The sequence below is a fragment of the Homo sapiens genome, chromosome 2, assembly GCF_000001405.40.
Source record: "Homo sapiens chromosome 2, GRCh38.p14 Primary Assembly".
In the NCBI taxonomy this organism is placed as follows: domain Eukaryota; kingdom Metazoa; phylum Chordata; class Mammalia; order Primates; family Hominidae; genus Homo; species Homo sapiens.
This window is the reverse complement of record NC_000002.12, coordinates 178,365,761-178,382,935: the sequence shown is the minus strand read 5'-3', so window position 1 is coordinate 178,382,935 and position 17,175 is coordinate 178,365,761. Positions and strand designations below refer to the sequence as shown.

At 39.5% G+C, this 17,175-nt stretch overlaps 1 protein-coding gene across 50 annotated transcripts in view; it reads right to left on the bottom strand.

Annotated features, from left to right (window-relative positions):
- The window catches only part of OSBPL6 (oxysterol binding protein like 6), a 209,120-nt gene that overhangs the window by 19,958 nt on the left and 171,987 nt on the right, over positions 1 to 17,175 (bottom strand). For 33 of the 50 annotated variants that reach the window (XM_047443146.1, XM_047443130.1, XM_047443154.1 and 30 more), the window contains 3 exons: positions 10,703 to 10,810; positions 8,909 to 9,046; positions 429 to 516 (listed from right to left, as the gene is read on the bottom strand). In XM_047443146.1, the coding sequence (XP_047299102.1) occupies positions 429 to 516; positions 8,909 to 9,046; positions 10,703 to 10,810 (334 nt within the window). Of the gene's footprint in view, positions 1 to 156; positions 517 to 8,908; positions 9,047 to 10,702; positions 10,811 to 17,175 lie in introns of those variants that run through there. The other 17 variants (XM_047443150.1, XM_047443165.1, XM_047443149.1 and 14 more) reach the window with 2 other exon arrangements.

Here is a 17,175-nt window from a genome sequence, read left to right as displayed (position 1 = left end):
TTTGAGACCTTTCATGAGTCTTCATTATATCTTTTCAAAAGTAAATGGAATTCTTTCAATGCAAGGTTGCTAATAAATGCAGAAAACAACAGTGTATAGTTTTATAAATAAGGCATTAGATACACTCAAATATCATTCAAGACAAGACAGGCTAAGTTTTAAAAAATTAAATACATTTAATAAGAAGGACTCAAGCTGTTGGTTTGAGAAAGAGGAAAAACGTTTTCTCTTAACTATTTACCTAACAGATTTTTTCAACCATTTACCTCAAGAGATCATACAAAATAGAATGTATTGAACAATCAGCTGCCAAAAGAACAATTAGCAGGGGTGGGGGTGGCGTGGGAGGGGGAATGCCTGTTCATTAAGTCTTCGTGTTGCAATTTGGCATGTAGATAGAACAACCTGGAAGCTCAAATGATGCATACTTTGCCGAGAAATATTGTCTGCAACACTGGTGTTGTCTTCAGATATATTATCACTCACATCACTGATGTAAGACTCATCATCTGAAGCCTAAGGAAGGGAAGAACATACAAGGATCAGAATTCTTGTTCAGTTTTGCAAGCTCAGATAATCAAATGATTAAAAATAACAAAATATTGTTCCAGTGAGAAGCAGAGGTCCTAGAGGGAAAAGTATTTGACATATGTGCAATGAACACTTGAGGGTCTTCATGAACTAGCATATAGGATCACTAGAAGGGAGCCTGGTCTTTAGCTCCTTATCTTAGTAGGGGCAGGAGGGCAGGGGAGACCAGTAAAGAACCAGAAATATTTTAATATAATACACTAAGAATGTTTCAGGTTGGTGCAAGAGTACTTGCGTTTTTGCCATTACTTTCTTTTGCACCAACCTAATAACTAAGAGAAGGCCCTATGACTCTACCTTAGAGGACTCAGGAGAGGCTGCCCAGGGGGCAATATTTAAACTGGGTGTTAGAGAATGAATAGGAGTTGCCCAGTTATTAGAAGGGACAGAAGCACACAAAGAAGAGAGATCGTGCAAAGGTAAGGCCCATGAGAGCAAGATTTATCCCAGGAATGCAAGGATGTTGAGAGTGGCTGTGACAGAGGGGAGAGAAAACAAGAGGGCCCGACAGTGAAGGGCTTTTCATGCCAACAAAAAGGGTTCATATACAATCCTAAGAGTTAGTAAAACCAACAAAAATGCACAGGATGTTGGAGTCAGATTTGGTTTTCAGGAAGATATTTGGCAGCTCTCCCTAGGGAGGCCAGATACTAGGATGCTGTGTAGATCTGGGTAAGAAATACAGCTCAGTCAGCTGGGTGTGGTGGCTCACGCCTGTAATCCCAGCACTTTGGGAGGCTGAGGCAGGCAGATCACAAGGTGAGGAGATCGAGACTATCCTGGCTAACATGGTGAAACCCTGTCTCTACTAAAAATACAAAAAATTAGCCGGGTGTGGTGGCATGCGCCTGCAGTCCCAGCTACTCAGGAGGCTGAGGCAGGAGAATCGCTTGAACCCAGGAAGCAGAGGTTGCAGTGAGCTGAGATCGTGACATTGCACTCTAGCCTGGGCGACAGAGCGAGACTCTGTCTCAAAAAAAAAGAAATACGGCTTAGATTCAGTTGGCCTCTGTGACAATGGGGAGAGACGCAAAGTGAAGCCACCCCCTGCATGAGAAAAATGTGAAACTAAAATGAAACACAAATTAGCAGAAAAATGAAATTAAGGAACAATGTACATACTAAAGGGACTTAGAAACAGAGCAGATCAGGAAAGAGAAGATAAGATAGAACATCAGAGGAATGGGAAAACTAATGACTTTCCCACAGGCAAGAAAGCTGCTGATACTTACTTCCTTCAAAATGGAAACAATGCTGTATTTTTTTCTGAATATAAAACATTCTTATTGTAAAAAATTAGAAAACAAGTAAGAGTAAACAGATGAGTATGAAAATTACCCATCAGCCCATCACCTATAGGAAACCACGTAACATTTTGGTGAGTATTATCCTCCAATTTCAAAATGACTGTACAAACATATTGACACATCTATCTTTATATACTGAAAAAGGAGATCAGTTTACATATTGCTTTATAGCATTCTGAATACATTTTCATTATAGTAGCTACAGCTACTTTATTTGGAAAGGCAACATATTTCATTATATGATTATAACAAGGAATTTAACCAGCATATAGGTGGTTTCTAACATTTTATTATTATAGACAATACTTGGATGAACATCCTTGTAAATATATTTTCATAAATCTGCCTGGTGATTACATTAAAATTTATTTCTAGATCAGATGGGTCACTTTGAGGCTTTAGTTCCATGTTGCCAAATTGCTCTCCTGAAAGACTGGATTAGTTTGTTCTCGTCAGCAATATATGGGAACATCATCCATCTTTCCACATCCACTTAAACACTTTACACTATCCATCTTTTTTAGTATTTACCTAGTATACATAAAAGATCACTTTTTTTTTTTTTTTTTTTTTTTTTTTTTGAGACAGACTCTTACTCTGCTGCCCAGGCTGAAGTGCAGTGGTACCATCACAGCTCACTGCAACCTGAGCTCATAACTCCTGGGCTCAAGGGATCTTCCTACCTCAGCCTCCCAAGTAGCTGGGACTACACGCACACACTCCCATGCCTTGCCAATTAAAAAATAAATTTTTTTTTAGAGATGAAGGGTCTTGCTACGTTACCCAGGCTTGAACTCCTAGCTTCAAGCAATCCTTCCACTGCAGCCTCTCAAAGTGCTGGTATTACAGGTATGAGCCATTGCACCTGGCCAAAAGATTGCTTTAAAGTTTAAATTTCACCCTTTATGAACTCCTTGTCTTATCTTTCACACATTTTTCAGTTTGACATATAGATTACATTTTTCTTAACTTGCATTTTTAAACTTTGTTTATGCCAATTCTTTTGTCATGTAAACATTTTGAATTTGTACATAAAAACAACTGGTCTTTGTCTTTAAGGTTTCTGGATTTATTGCTAATGTTTTAAAAATTAGGGTTGAGAAGAGTTCATATATTTAGGGAGAACAGTGATGGACAGAATGATTGCACACATGGATGAATAATGGTAATTTTGTTTTTGCATACAGAGTAAGCCCATAAAGATGACAAATTGAGAACAAAATCTTTTTCTGATTCATATTTTCCCGCTGCAACTGGTTCCCACAGTTCCTACTGACTGCAGCAGAGCTGAAGGTTAAACCATCAGGCTCATGAAAAGCCAACTTCTTATGCTTGAAAGTGAAAAAAAGTAAATCAAACTCCTCTGGTGATTTCTCTGAAAAAAATCTAATCATACACAATTATGTTTGAGGAGACAAATGTCTACCTAAACCAAATTCACATTGCATGCATGTTTATTGTTTGAACATTTGTTAAGAAAACACTCATGTTTATCCTACAAACAGCTATAAAGTCTATTCTTCCTCGATTTCTTTTCTTCTCTCTTCTTTCCTTTTCTGTTTCTTTTTTTCTCCTTCCCTCCTTCCTTCCTTTTCTCTCTTCTTTCTCTTTCTTTTCTTTCTCTTTCTTTCCCTCCCTCCCTGCCTCCTTTCTCCTTTTCCTCCCTCCCTTTCCTTCCTTCCCCTCCCTCCCTCCCTCCCTCCCTTCCTTTCCTTCCTTCCTTCCTGTTTCTTTCTTTCTTCTTTCTTTCTTTTCTTTCTTTCTTTCTCTTTCTTTGTTTTTCTTTCTCTCTCTCTCTCTTTCTTTCTTCTTTCCCTTACTTCCTCCCTCCCTTCCTTTCTTTTTTTCGTTCCTTCGTTCTTTTTTGATACAGGATCTCTTTCTGTCACCGAGGCTGGAGTACAATGGTACAATCACAGCTCGACACAGCCTTTCCCTCCTGGGCTCAAGGGATCCTCCCACCTCAGCCTCCTGAAGGAGCTGGGACCACAGGTATGCACCACCATGCCCAGCTAATTATTTTATTTTATTTTTTTGTAGAGGTGGGGGCTCCCTGTATTGCCCGGGCTGGTCTCAAACTCCTGGTTCAAGCAATCATCCTGCCTCTGCCTCCCAAAGTGTTGGGATTACAGGCATGAGCCACCATGCCTGGCCTTCCTCTTCAATTTCTAATCTCTCCCAAACTAATATATCATAGAAATGATCAGAAATCACTGGTGTAAAAGAATTCTACAATAATAGTGGGCCTTGAGTAAGATGTATACATGTCACATGTGTGCAGTAACTAAGGCTGGGCTATCTTGCTGTGGTCAATTCACGCTACCCTGCACAAAGAGCCAAGGCTCTGCACTATTGTAATCAAACAGTTTGTCCTCTGCCCCGTGGTTAAGAAGTCCTGGAACCAAGTATTTCTCTTTACAAACTTAGGGATTCAAAAGAGTTCAGAAAATATATATTTTTCCTAAATGTGACCAGGCATGCAGCATTGCAGAAACAAGTTTAAAAGTAAAGGCAAATAGATTATTGTGGAAGCAAGAAGAACATTTTTTAAAAGAGCAGAGGATTCATTCAGTAAAGTGCATTGGTAAATAACATATAAAGAGGATTTTTCCCTCTGCCATGGAAAATGTTAATGTAAGACAGCTAATGCCCAGATGTTTCTCAGAATAATCATTATAAGCATTTCTTCCTTTGCTCAGTTAGCAGATATTTATTGAGTACCTGCTCTGGGCTCACCAGAACTGTTTTAGTGCAGGAGACACAGTGGTTAAATCTCTGCCTTCATGAAATTTATGTTCTAGTGGGGCAGACACACAACAAATGAAATATAGGAAATATATATATATTTAAGACAGTGATAAGCATGAAGGAAAAAAAATGAGGAAAGAGGGATACAAAAGGTCAGAGGAGGCCAGGCGCAGTGGCTCATGCCTGTAGTCCCAGCACTTTGGGAGGCTGAGGCAGGCGAATCACTTGAGGTCAGGTGTTCAAGACCAACCTGGCCAACATGGTGAAACCTCATTTCTACTAAAAATATAAAAATTAGCCAGGCGTGGTGGTGCATGCCTGTAATCCCAGCTACTCGGGAGGCTGAGGCAGGAGACTTGCTTGAACCCAGGAGGTGGAGATTACAGTGAGGCAAGATTGCACCACTGCACTCCAGCCTGGGTGACAGAATGAGACTCTGTCTCAAAAATAAATAGAAAAACCCCAAAAGGTCAGAGGAAAGGAAGAAATGGCAACTCTAAATTGTAGATAGGACAGCCAGCATAGGCTTCCCTGGAGGTGACCTTTGAGTAAGGGTCTGAAGAGAGTGAAGGAGCTGAAGTTGTGGATCTCTGCGGGAAGTGCTTGGGCCAGGGTAGATGGCAAGTGCAGGGGCCCAATTTCCTTTGGCAGCTGCAGTGCAGGATACGTAGCTTGAGCCTAGCCTGCAGCTGCTGCTAGGATTCCCACATGTATAGTCAACTCACCAGGTGGGTTGCTAAGACTATGAGTGTGAAGGCGTGAGGAGCCTTCTGGGGAGACCTCACCACAAGGTGATACAGTTTGGATGTGTGTCCCCATCCAAGTCTCACACTGAAATCTAATCCCCAGTGTTGGAGGTGGGGCCTGGTGGGAGGTGATTGGATCATGGGAACGGTTTTCTCTGGAATGGTTTAGCACCATCCCCTTTGGTACTGTCTTCCTGATCGTGAGTGAGTTCTTGCGTGATCTGGTAGTATAAAAGTGTGTAGCAACTCCCACCTTGCTCTCTTGCTCCTGCTCTGGTCATGTGAGGGCTGGCTTCCCCTTGGCCTTCTGCCATGGTTGTAAGTTTCCTGAAGCTAAGCAGATGCCAGCATCATGCTTCCTGTACAGCCTGCAGAACCATGAGCCAATGAAACCTGTTTCCTTTATAAATTACCCAGTCTCAGGTATTTCCTTATGGCAATGTGAGAACTCTCTTATACATAAGGGAACTTAGAGACTTGGGCAGATGAGATTGTCCCAGAAACCGAGCCTTAGCTGAAGGGGAAAAGCAACTCTGAGAACATCATAATATCTGTCACTTGGGTTTATCTGCTGGCCTACCCCCTTCAAATACTTAAGGCCAAGTGTTGTGATAAAGGGAGAAGTTGCAAGTAAAAACAGTTATTTTATGAAAACCTGTGAGGTATGGGGCACAAGGAATGGGGGTACAGTTCAGCTCTTTCCAGTGTGAGTTGTAGGAGAGAGTCACTCTCCTTGCTACAGCAAGGGACACAAGGTATCTTTAGCAAATGGGCAACTCCAGAAATCATTCCTTTGGCTGTTGGAAGGCTCCAGAAGACAGGTGGCATGAGGCTGGAGAGACAGCAGGCATCAGATTATAACGGTCTTTGTTTTAATAGCTAAGGAGTTTAGAATATTATCCTAAGGACACTGGATACAGTGTCCTTAGGAATACGGACATGATCAGATTTGCCTTTTAGGAAGATTACTCAGGTTCCCCAGTGGAAAATGGATGGGAGGCAGCAAGATGGGAGACTGGAAAAGTTATGAGACTGATGGGGTGATCTAGGTGGGGAGCAGATGGGAACTGAATTGGAGCAGTGGCACTGAAGCTGCAGGAAGATGTACAAATCTGAGAGTATTTAGATGATGGAAGCTATAGAACCCGAGTGAATCAAGGTGGGTGGTAGTAAAGGGAAAGAAGGAGTGAAGGAAAATCTTCAGGCATTTGGTGTGAATAGTTGGGTAGGGGGCACTTAGATAGGCGATATGAGAGGTATGGGCAGGCTGGGGTTTCTCCCCTGGCGGAGTGGTGGGGCTTGTTGATGAACTCTTTTGGGACGTGCTGAATTAGAGGTTCTGTGAGTACCAGGTGTCAGTGTCTAACAGGTAGCTGGTTATGCAGATCCTGAGCTGACTCTCTCTTGGACAGTTCTGTCCTTGAGTTTTAGACTTAAATATGCAAATGCCTGACAGGTAACTCCACTGAGAGGTCTGATAAACTCATGATGCCTCACAGTGAATGTCTCATCTCCCTGCGACCCTGCCCTCCACCTTCTTATCCCGCTCTCTGCCACCACATTCACTCCCCAACCCCTCACCTGTCCCAGGGTGGCACCACCATCTTGCTTGGACTCATGCAATAACCTGCTTCACATCCTCTTCATTTCTGTATACCCAGTGTCCAGGGCAAGCAGTACCTGGGGTCCCAGCTGGGGTGTGCCCCAGGGACTTGGAAATATCTCTCAGAAAGGTAAGCTAGGAAGTCATCAGATGATAGGTAAGAACTCACATAATGCACGGTCAAGTCTGACTGTAACCTGACTAAAGAAGGATGAAGGGGTCGGGCGCAGTGGCTCATGCCTGTAATCCCAGCACTTTGGGAGGCTGAGGCAGGCGGATCACCTGAGGTCGGGATTTCGAGACCAGCCTGACCAACATGGAGAAATCCTGTCTCTACTAAAAAAAACAAAATTAGCAGGGCGTGGAGGTGCATGCCTGTAATCCCCACTACTTGGGAGGCTGAGGCAGGAGAATTGCTTGAACCCGGGAGGCAGAGGTTGTGGTGAGCCAAGATTGCGCCACTGCCCTCCAGCCCGGGCAACAAGAGCGAAACTCTGTCTCAAAACAAAAACAAACAAAAACAAAAACAACAACAACAAAAAAAGAAGGATGAAGGATGGGTCAGCTATGGGAGCTCAGCAAGGCAGAGTCAGAAAAGGAAATTTTGGTAGCATTATCGACAGCATGGTGGTCCCTGGGGGTGCAGGCAGACAGACACAAATACCAAGTCCTTGTGCCAGAGTATCCCTATGATGGAGGGTGAGTATGGAGCTCTAACATTCTGGCCCTGTAGCCTTAAGTTTACTCATGTCCCTTGCTCATCAGGCAATCTCTGACTAGAATTAGGCTTGCCATGCAGATTTGCCTACAGGAAAAGAGGCACTAATTAGCAAGGATGATTATTCTGTCCATCTGAGAGTATGTATCAGTTACCATCACAGATCATTAAATTAGCATTCCAGCCTGTGAATGGAAGTCGCTGTGAACCTGTTAATGCATGCCTTGGGATCTGACAGGCAGGTGCATGCCTTGGTATGCTGACAAATTCTGTATCTGATATAAGAATTCTATTTTACTTTTCTCCCATTATAAAAATGATATGTATTCACTATTGCTTTCTCTTTTCCACTTTGTCTTTGTTTCTAAAATCACTCATAATTTCAAACATCCAAAAACAACTACTACTAATTGTCAGGATGTTTCCTTCCAATCTGTTTTCTATGCATATGGAAATAATGTTTAGCAATGATTTCATTTCTTTTTTGTAAAAATGCAGTATAGATTTGCAATCCCAAATGACAAAATTCCTAATCAGCTTTGTGGAAAAGAGTTTTGGCTGCTTTTCTCATGCCAGAAAAAGTTGACTACACTGTAGCAAAAGAGCTAATTTCTGCAACCTGACCAAGGAAGAGGTTCCCAGTTTCCAAGACCTTGGCAAGAATCATAAGCATGAAGAGCAATCCAGTACAGCTTTTATGATAGTCAGCGGTTAACCTCCAAAAAGCATAATTACCCAACTAGCTATGTGCTACACATTATCCTTCCAAGTTTAAATTCATGTCCCTAGCAAAAATATCTAATATGTATGTGTCTGTGTATGCGCATGAACGGTGCTTTCCTAATTCTCTCATTCTTTCTATATTTATTAGCTAGTCTCCTTCTATAAACAGCTCTGTCATAAACTCTTTTGTTACCCTGAAATAGGAATCATAGAAGACACTCCAATAAATGTTGGTTCTTTCCCTTAATTCATCAAATTTAAATTCTTGATGCTCAGAAACGTTAAGTGCTCAGTAATTGGGAACTCATAATAGTTTGCATGCTTTTAGCTTTGCTGCAATTTGGACATTTTACTATGATGTAAACAAAAAAACAAATGAAAGTAATCACCAAAAAGTTCCACAGTTTTATGTTCTTTAACTCAAACTCAGTCACAAGATGTTGAGGCCAACAAGTCAAGGAGGCATACATACCTCATTCTCTGACGAACTTGCAGAGAGGAGCACCTCTTGGGCATCAAAGAACTCAGAAACAGACTCTGACATGGAGAGGCGGCTCTCATTGGCTACTTGCTGTGATAAGGGGAGACTGACATGGATTTGCTCACCAGCCTGCAGAAGACAGAAGCATACAGTGTAATTGCTTTTCTCCCTGTTAGAATAGCTATTCCTTCAAATTAGCCAGATTTCTACTCTTTAATACTGTATGTTAAAAAGTGGCAGCCACAAGCAATTTTCACTTGCAATTCAGCAATGATCACTGTATAAGTTTCCTTCCAATGTGTCTAAAGACCCCAAAAGGAATAGTTGAAAGGTGTTGGTACTGTGCCTTGATTTTAAATCTTTGATTGATTGATACTGAGTCAGGTTAAGCCGCTATGAATACCCTGATTGACTGTAGAGACAACTTCATTCTCTTATTCTTAGGTCTGTCATATTCTAACGGTACATTAAACATGAAGAAATATTCGTAGAAACTACTAGAGTTATGCTAAGAAAATCTATAAAACTAATTTTTGAGACAGACTATATACGTCACTTTCCAATTTGATCATGAATTTTAACCAATAAAACACATGACTGGAATATTGAACCTTATTTCAAATTATACTTTTATTCAATAAGTGATAAATAGTTTTCAAGGAAGCTATTTAAGTTTCAATAAAAAATGTAAGAGAAATGTATATATATATTCTAGTGCACATTTCAGGTTGAAAAGAAGATTCCAACTGAGATTATCAAATTATTTTTGAATGACAAATTTTAGAAATACTTCTAGATTCTGGGCAGTTGAGTGAATACAAGTGTTATCTGAGAACACAGGGCCCATGGAGGTGAATGGATTTAGGGTGGAAAACTTAAGTCAAAGACAAGTTGTCCTGGGATAACGTTTCCTAAGAGGTTAGAACCCTTGTACCTATAGATTTCTAGTAAAATGTATGTTTTTGGTACAAATATGACCTTAGTATCAGTTAAACCTCTCATCTTGTTACATATATCACCACTGTATATAAAGCTCTAACATTACTGTTAAAAAGTGTAAGTTCTCATGCTATAAAGTAATAATTTTATGGAGAGTCATAAACAGAATTATACACTTAAGTTTAGTTTAGCCCATATACTGAATGTTCTCCTATTCTCTTTTCTTCAATCTGAAAAATGGAATAATAATACCACCTAACAGAGCGTTGTTGAGAGTGTCAAATGAGATAACACATGCAAAGTCATTAACACAATACCTAGCACATAGTAAGCATTCACTTGACACATGTCAGCTATTAATTAGCAGCAGCAGCAGCAGTAGTAGCTGTAGCAGCACCGTTAGTATTATCTTAACAAGGTCAGGTGACTTCTGTCCTTAGGGCTTTCAAAACAAACGTTAATAACATTTTTACTTGGCAACTTCTCAGCTAATTTTTTTTTTTTTTTTGCAACATTTCACCGGCCATTTGATGCTAATGAACACTTCCAATGATGAATGAGACAGACATTGAAAATTAACAAGCTGGAGTAGATATATAAATCAAATATTCAGTGGCATCAGGTGAACATAGGAATAAATAAAAATAGACACTGATCACCAGGTATAAATGATGTCAAGCTCTTATATAACCTTTACTTCAAAGAACACTGAACTGTCAGTGACACAAATATTTATGGAGGGAACCTTATTAACTGTGAAAGAACTGGATATAAATAAACAAAAATATGCAGTAAATTTAGATGCTAAAAAATAGGTACTCTGCATCTATTTAAAATGAGTCTTACCTCATCAGGGCTAGGAATAATATTTACACTGACAACCTGATCACAAATAATAGACTCTGAATGTATTCTGTTCAACCGACTCCTTAGTTCAGCATTCTGGTTGAGTGCCTTAAAATAACAAAAACCACATATGTAATTTAAAATTAATAAGCAAGCATAAAACAGAACAAGTACACAGGTACAAGTTAGACAATAATGTCTGTGATGTTCTTAGCTCTAACTTTTGAAGCCATCATGAGCCAGACCCTACCAGCAAGGAGTAAATAAATGGCTCAAAATTAAGGTATTCATTTTTTATAAAATAAGATTGCTACTTTGCAGATTGGTGGGCTGAAAGAGTTAATAGATTTCATAAAAGTGATTCATGAAATTTTCTTTCCTTTAGAGTGAGTCCCATTATACTCAAGCCCAGTCTACCACTACATATATATTACTTTTTGCAGCCTGTGATGAAAACTATTGTTTTCATTGAAAATTCTTTCATGTTTTTGTTCTAGTTTCTAAAGTTTGGGAGTTGTTTCAAAGCTGGGTAGTTATCTTAAAAATTAGTTAGAAATAGAATGAACTGGCTTTAGTTTATAGAATTATATTTTAGTGTGTTTAAAGAAAACATCTGTATTTTCATTTTCCAGGAGCACATAATTAATATATATGACAGTGCTGCAGAACTAACTTAAGTGCAAACAAAAAGGTGTCTTCACTCAACAGTGTAGACACTGACAACCATAACAAAGAACATAGCACTGAAAGTACCCCAGCTCTAAGTTCTCCTCATAACACTACCTCCAACATGCTTTAAGTTAGCATCAGTAAAACACTACTTGCTATAACACGGTTTAGTATGTGGAGCAACTGCATTTATTACAAGAAGAGAACAGCTTTACATAAGCATGGCATCCCTACAAGGACCCTATTGACAAAGGTACAGTGAATCCTCTGGGAATGAACATCCCATTGATACACAGAAACATGTTCCATTTATAGACTACAGATGTAGCTAACTGGAATTATATCAAGCCTCAAGTTAAAGACCTGTGAGAAGACAAGGCCCAGAGAAAAGATAGTCTTCTTTTCCTTCCCATTAAGATCAGCGATTAGAAGATGTAAAGATATAAATGTCAGTGCCTAGTAAAGAGGGCATCTGCTTCAGGGAATGGGCATTCCGCTTCATTCAGAGCCAATGAATACAGTAAATCAATACATACACAAATATAATCTCATAATTACAACTCTGTACCTATTAAAACACCCAGGGTAAAAACAAAGTAGCTAAACTCTTCATTGCTTACTCCTTGAGCATGGAGCACAGAGCAGCCTCTTCTCTCCTCTCTCCATCCTGGTCCCCATGTCTTCCCTTCCCTCAACCCAGTTTTTGCTTTTTGAGGACAGAACTATCAGTTGCAGCCTTTGGATTTTGTTTGAAGCTGTTAGAACCAGTTTGTAAAATATGTCAAATCATATACTTGATCTGGAGGGCTGTCACATTGATGGATTAAAGGTGGATACAGATTCTACAGTCATTACATTTGGAGATAGGAGGAAGTATGTCTCTGACGATCTGAGAAAACAGGAATGTTTTATGGGAAAAAAGGTGATAACATTCTTAGTAGATAAACCATGTGCCTCAAAGGAAGACTCCTAGTATCTTTTCATCCTGAAAAAGTGCTCAGGATCATTTTTCTTGGAGCAAAATCTCAAACACTTAGAATTAGAAAAAAACCCAGCAACGACACTGCATTACTCTTATCTATTGTGAGTACCATAGGCCTTTCTCCTATAAGTTAGGACCACAAAAGATGCTGATTTCTTCTTTGTTGCTTCTCTGCCTACAAGTAAATGCATAGTTGCCTTAGTTACTGAAACATTTGGAACCAGATATGCTTTGGTGTCATGTAAGTGGGAGGCCTCATGGTAAGCTATTTGATAGTTTTAATTGCAGAATCACAGTTTTGTTGTTGTTGTTCGTTTTGAGACAGACTCTTGCTCTGTCACCCAGGCTGGAGTGCAGTGGTGTGATCTCAGCTCACTGCAACCTCGGCCTCCTGGGTTCAAGTGATTCTCATGCCTCAGCCTCCTAAGTAGCTGGGATTACAGGTATGCACCACCACATCTGGCTAATTTTTGTATTTTTAGTAGAGATGAAGTTTTGCCATGTTCGCCAGGCTGGTCTCAAACTCCTGACCTCAAGTGATCCTCTGGCCTCAGCCTCCCAAAGTGCTGGGATTACAGGCAGGAGCTACCCTGCCCAGCCCAGAATCACAGTCTTGACCTGAGGGTTTCATACAAACCTCAAATAATGGTTCCTCCAAAGTAGCTATACCTTCTGTTGCCACTGTGAGAGTGTTAACAAAACAACCCCACAAAAACTCAAGGGCAAAGATAAGTAGTGGTTTTCTTCAGGGGTGGGAATGTTAAAGATAGGTTTGCCATTTATAAGAAAAGCTTGCTCTGGATATTTAAAAAAATTAAATTCTTATTTAAGCTCTCATCTTACCCCATGTTCATTAAATGTGATCATGCCTACAGGTATGTGTGATGGGAACACAAGATAACATCTAGCCATTAATATCAATAAGAAATGAACTCAGAGGTTTTTAAATTAAATATAATTTATTCTTTTTCTTAGATGTGATGTGAAAAATAAAAATTCTAGCCTGGGAGTCAGAAGATCAGGTTCTCTTGATCTCAGGGCTAAGTAGTCTTCACCAAGTTACTTAACCTTTCTGGGGTTGTATTAAATAAACATACAAATTTGATTGAAACGCTAAGTCAGAATCCTGCACAGTGCTTCTTGGTTATCATGATGAAGATCAACTAGTGTCCAGAATAGTGCAAAAATAATTCTGGGTTTGGGGATTTTCTGATGCTTAGATTATGGTTCATAGGAATTTCTATACTTTATGGGGCAAATCATCAGTATTTGGCTCTCTGATAAGAGCATAATCAAGGTATTTTTACATTCTATGCAAAGTTTACTTTGGCATTCATTGGGATGGTCTGGAGAGAGTTTTATCACCTGTGTCCTTACTTAATTCTCTTATTGTTGAAACCCTGTTCTCTCTTCCATTGATGGCAAAAAGAGTAGCATGGGAGCAAAAGAGATAAATCTCAGTTAAAGTATTTCTTATTAAGATGAAGGCTGGGTGTGGTGGCTCATGTCTGTAACCTCAGCACTTTGGGAGACCAAGGCAGATGGATCACTTGAGGTCAGGAGTTTGAGACCAGTCTGGCCAACATAGTGAAACCCCAACTCTACTAACAATACAAAAATTAGCTGGGTGAGGTGGCACACGCCCATAGTCCCAGCTACTCAGGAGGCTGAGGTAGGAGAATCACTTTAACTCGAGGTGGAGGCTGCACTGAGCCAAGACTGTGTCACTGCACTTCAGCCTGGGCAACACTGAGAGACTGTGTCTCAAAAAAAAAAAAGGATTTTTTTTATTAAGATGAAGAAAAATAGAAGTATTTTTATTTGTTAATTTTTTTACATTTAATTTTTTAATGTAAATTTTTTTCAAACTTCAAAACTATTTTTTTTTTAATGATGGCAAATACTCAAAGCCAAAGATCTCCTGTAGTTTACCACTACTGGTAAAGAATTACACTTTCCTGCCAAAATATTAACATTGTGCCAAAAGAAAACAGTTTGGTTCCATTTTAAGTAGATAATGATGCATTTTGCTAGTTCTTATTTTAATCACTTTTAGAACTGAGACAAAAGTAGAAGACTCATCTCTCCTGCTATGATTTCAAGCCAGATGTTAAGCATGTTGAGTTCAAAGCTAAAAGTTTTAAAGACATCATTTTATTAATAATATCTATGCAGTGGTAGAAAAGAGTTTGCTGTTACATAGCACAGGAAGCATGGAAATCAAGACTGTTCCCACTCTGGCAACCCCAGTGGTGAAAAGTGTAAGCCGGCAACTGAGCATGCAACAGCCCCTTTCTGCGCATCCTCCCCCTTTTGCCTTGATCGTACAGGCTGTTTTTAAAGTTTGCTACAACCAAGCGCCATGAGCTTTCTGGTGTAGTGCTCTCAGGTAGTGCTTAGGTCTACATTTATTATTTCCTGCCCTAAAAATTATTTTTATCTAATAATACCATGTTTCTATAATAATATCATTGAAACTTTGGGAGAAGTATTGTCAGGGAAGTGATGTTCTTCATGACAACAGAAAAGGGCCTAGAAGATGGCAGAAATAAAGTAGGGCATATACCCAAGAGGAGTGAGCAGTGGCATAAGCAAGGGAAAAGGAGGCAGAGGACCAGCCCCTGGAACCAGCCAATGAGCAAGAAGAGCTATGGAGACTTGTCAGCAATAACATCGCTATTAGTGGCATACAGGACCAAAGGCCTAACAGGGAGGAAGCACCTTGAAGCCAGGAACTGGGCACAGATTCTTCACGCAGCAGGTTTTATGCATATTCTCACCACTTGCTTTACTGAGCTCGGACTGCACTAAAAACTACAATGCATGCTCATTTCCCCACACCTCATGTCCCTTATGCACATTTCAAGGCTAATATATCCAAGAAACACACAATTCCTTTCCAATGCGTAAAAGAAGTTACTGTCTTAAAGATTTGAGCCAGAATCAATTACCTAAATTGCCACCTCCTTAGCTACTAACTACCATTCATCAACCCTGGCAGGTAATTCCTAGGTGAAGATTTATCTTAGGCTGGGTGAGACTCTGGCATAAACATTTTACTAAATGGAAATGTGGGTTCTGGGAGAAAAACATAGAAGCCTAATGGCTGGAGAAGGATATGAAACATATGGCAAGATGAAATCATCATAAATTTAAACATTTTAGATAAAAATAAAACTGGTTCAAAAGGAATGAGAAAATGAGCATAGAAACTGTCAAAGCTAGAGCTGTCAAAAACCAAATCCTGGGTCTCTCTTAAAAATCACTTGCTTTTTCAATTACAAAAATACCATTATAGTATATTTGGAAAATGCAAAATATAGACAAATTTTTAAAAAATGCATCTTACTACCCGACTGTTGGTAGCTTGGCCCATTTCTTTCTAGTTTTTTTTTCCTCTGTATTTTTTAATATTGTTTAATGGGTGCACAGTTTACATACTGTATCTGCCCCTTATTCTTTGCACATAAGCAGTTATTTTGTTTCAAACTCTTCACACACATAATTTTAATAGTTGCATTAGCAAGTATTTCCTACTATTGGACACTTATGCTGTTACTGATTTTTACTAGTATAAATAATACTGCCATGAATATGTGCATGATTGTTTTCTAAATTTCAGCATTAATAGACATATCAGCCATGGACCTACAGGGTAAAAGGGTAAAAACATTTTAAGGCTTTTAATAAATATTGCCAAATTATGTTCAAAATGACAACAATTTAAAGTTTAAAGAACATGTGAAGGATTCTATAAAGAGTATCTTCACATACAACAAATTTGGCCAAGTCTCAGGGAACTATGAAATTAAGGAATAAACAAATACACTTGCAACTTTTATTTCATCACAGAATAATTATTTGGGTATGTGAAATGTTGTGGACAGGGAGGATGACAGATATGACTTGGATTTTACATTATGCTACTATATAGTATGTTAAGCAATTTTTTTGCTTCAATTCTATTTACATTTCGCTGATTCTAAGATGCACATTTCCCCCCACATTCACCGCCTCTGAAGCACCGTGTCAGTTCAATTGACAGCAGTGTTTTTTTTCCTTTTCTCAGTAATGCACAAAATGATGATGCATGTAATAATTGATGGCATCTTGATTTAATAAAATACAGTGATTCTAGCTGGAATAGATGGGTCATATTCCGTTATTCACATTTATATGAGCCCAACTCTCACTGCGTTTAACACAAGCTGTGCACAATTTCTGGGGCCAGGAATCAAACTAATAACAGTGATAAAATGTAATGTATTCAAGATAGGCTCAAGATGAGTTGGATTTTTATTATTATGGTAATCTGGGGTGCTGAGGTTGCCTTAGTTTTATTACAGACTATTTCATTTTGGTGTTCAGGGTACTGCATTAAACAAGACATAAGCTGGGTGCAGTGGTTCATGCCTATAATCCCAGCACTTCGGGAGTCCGAGGTGGGAGGATTACTTGAGGCCACGAGTTCGAGACCAGCCTGGGCAACATGGTGAAATCCCATCTCTATTAAAAACACAAAAAATTAGCCGGACGTGGTGGTTCATGCCTGTAATACCAGCTAGTTGGGAAGCTGTGGCAGGAGAATCACTTGAACCCAGGAGGCGGAGGTTGCAGTGAGCTGAGACTGTGTCACCTCACTCCAAACAGGGCAACAGAGGAAGACTCTGCCTCCAAAAAACAAACAAACAAAAAAAGATATGAAATTATAGCTGATGTCAAATAAAGTCATTTATAAGGGATAGATGCCACATAAAATGTCCTGTCTATAGGCTTGGGTCCAACATCCAGGCTCCCTCTCAAGTGTGAAAGTTTAAGTTTC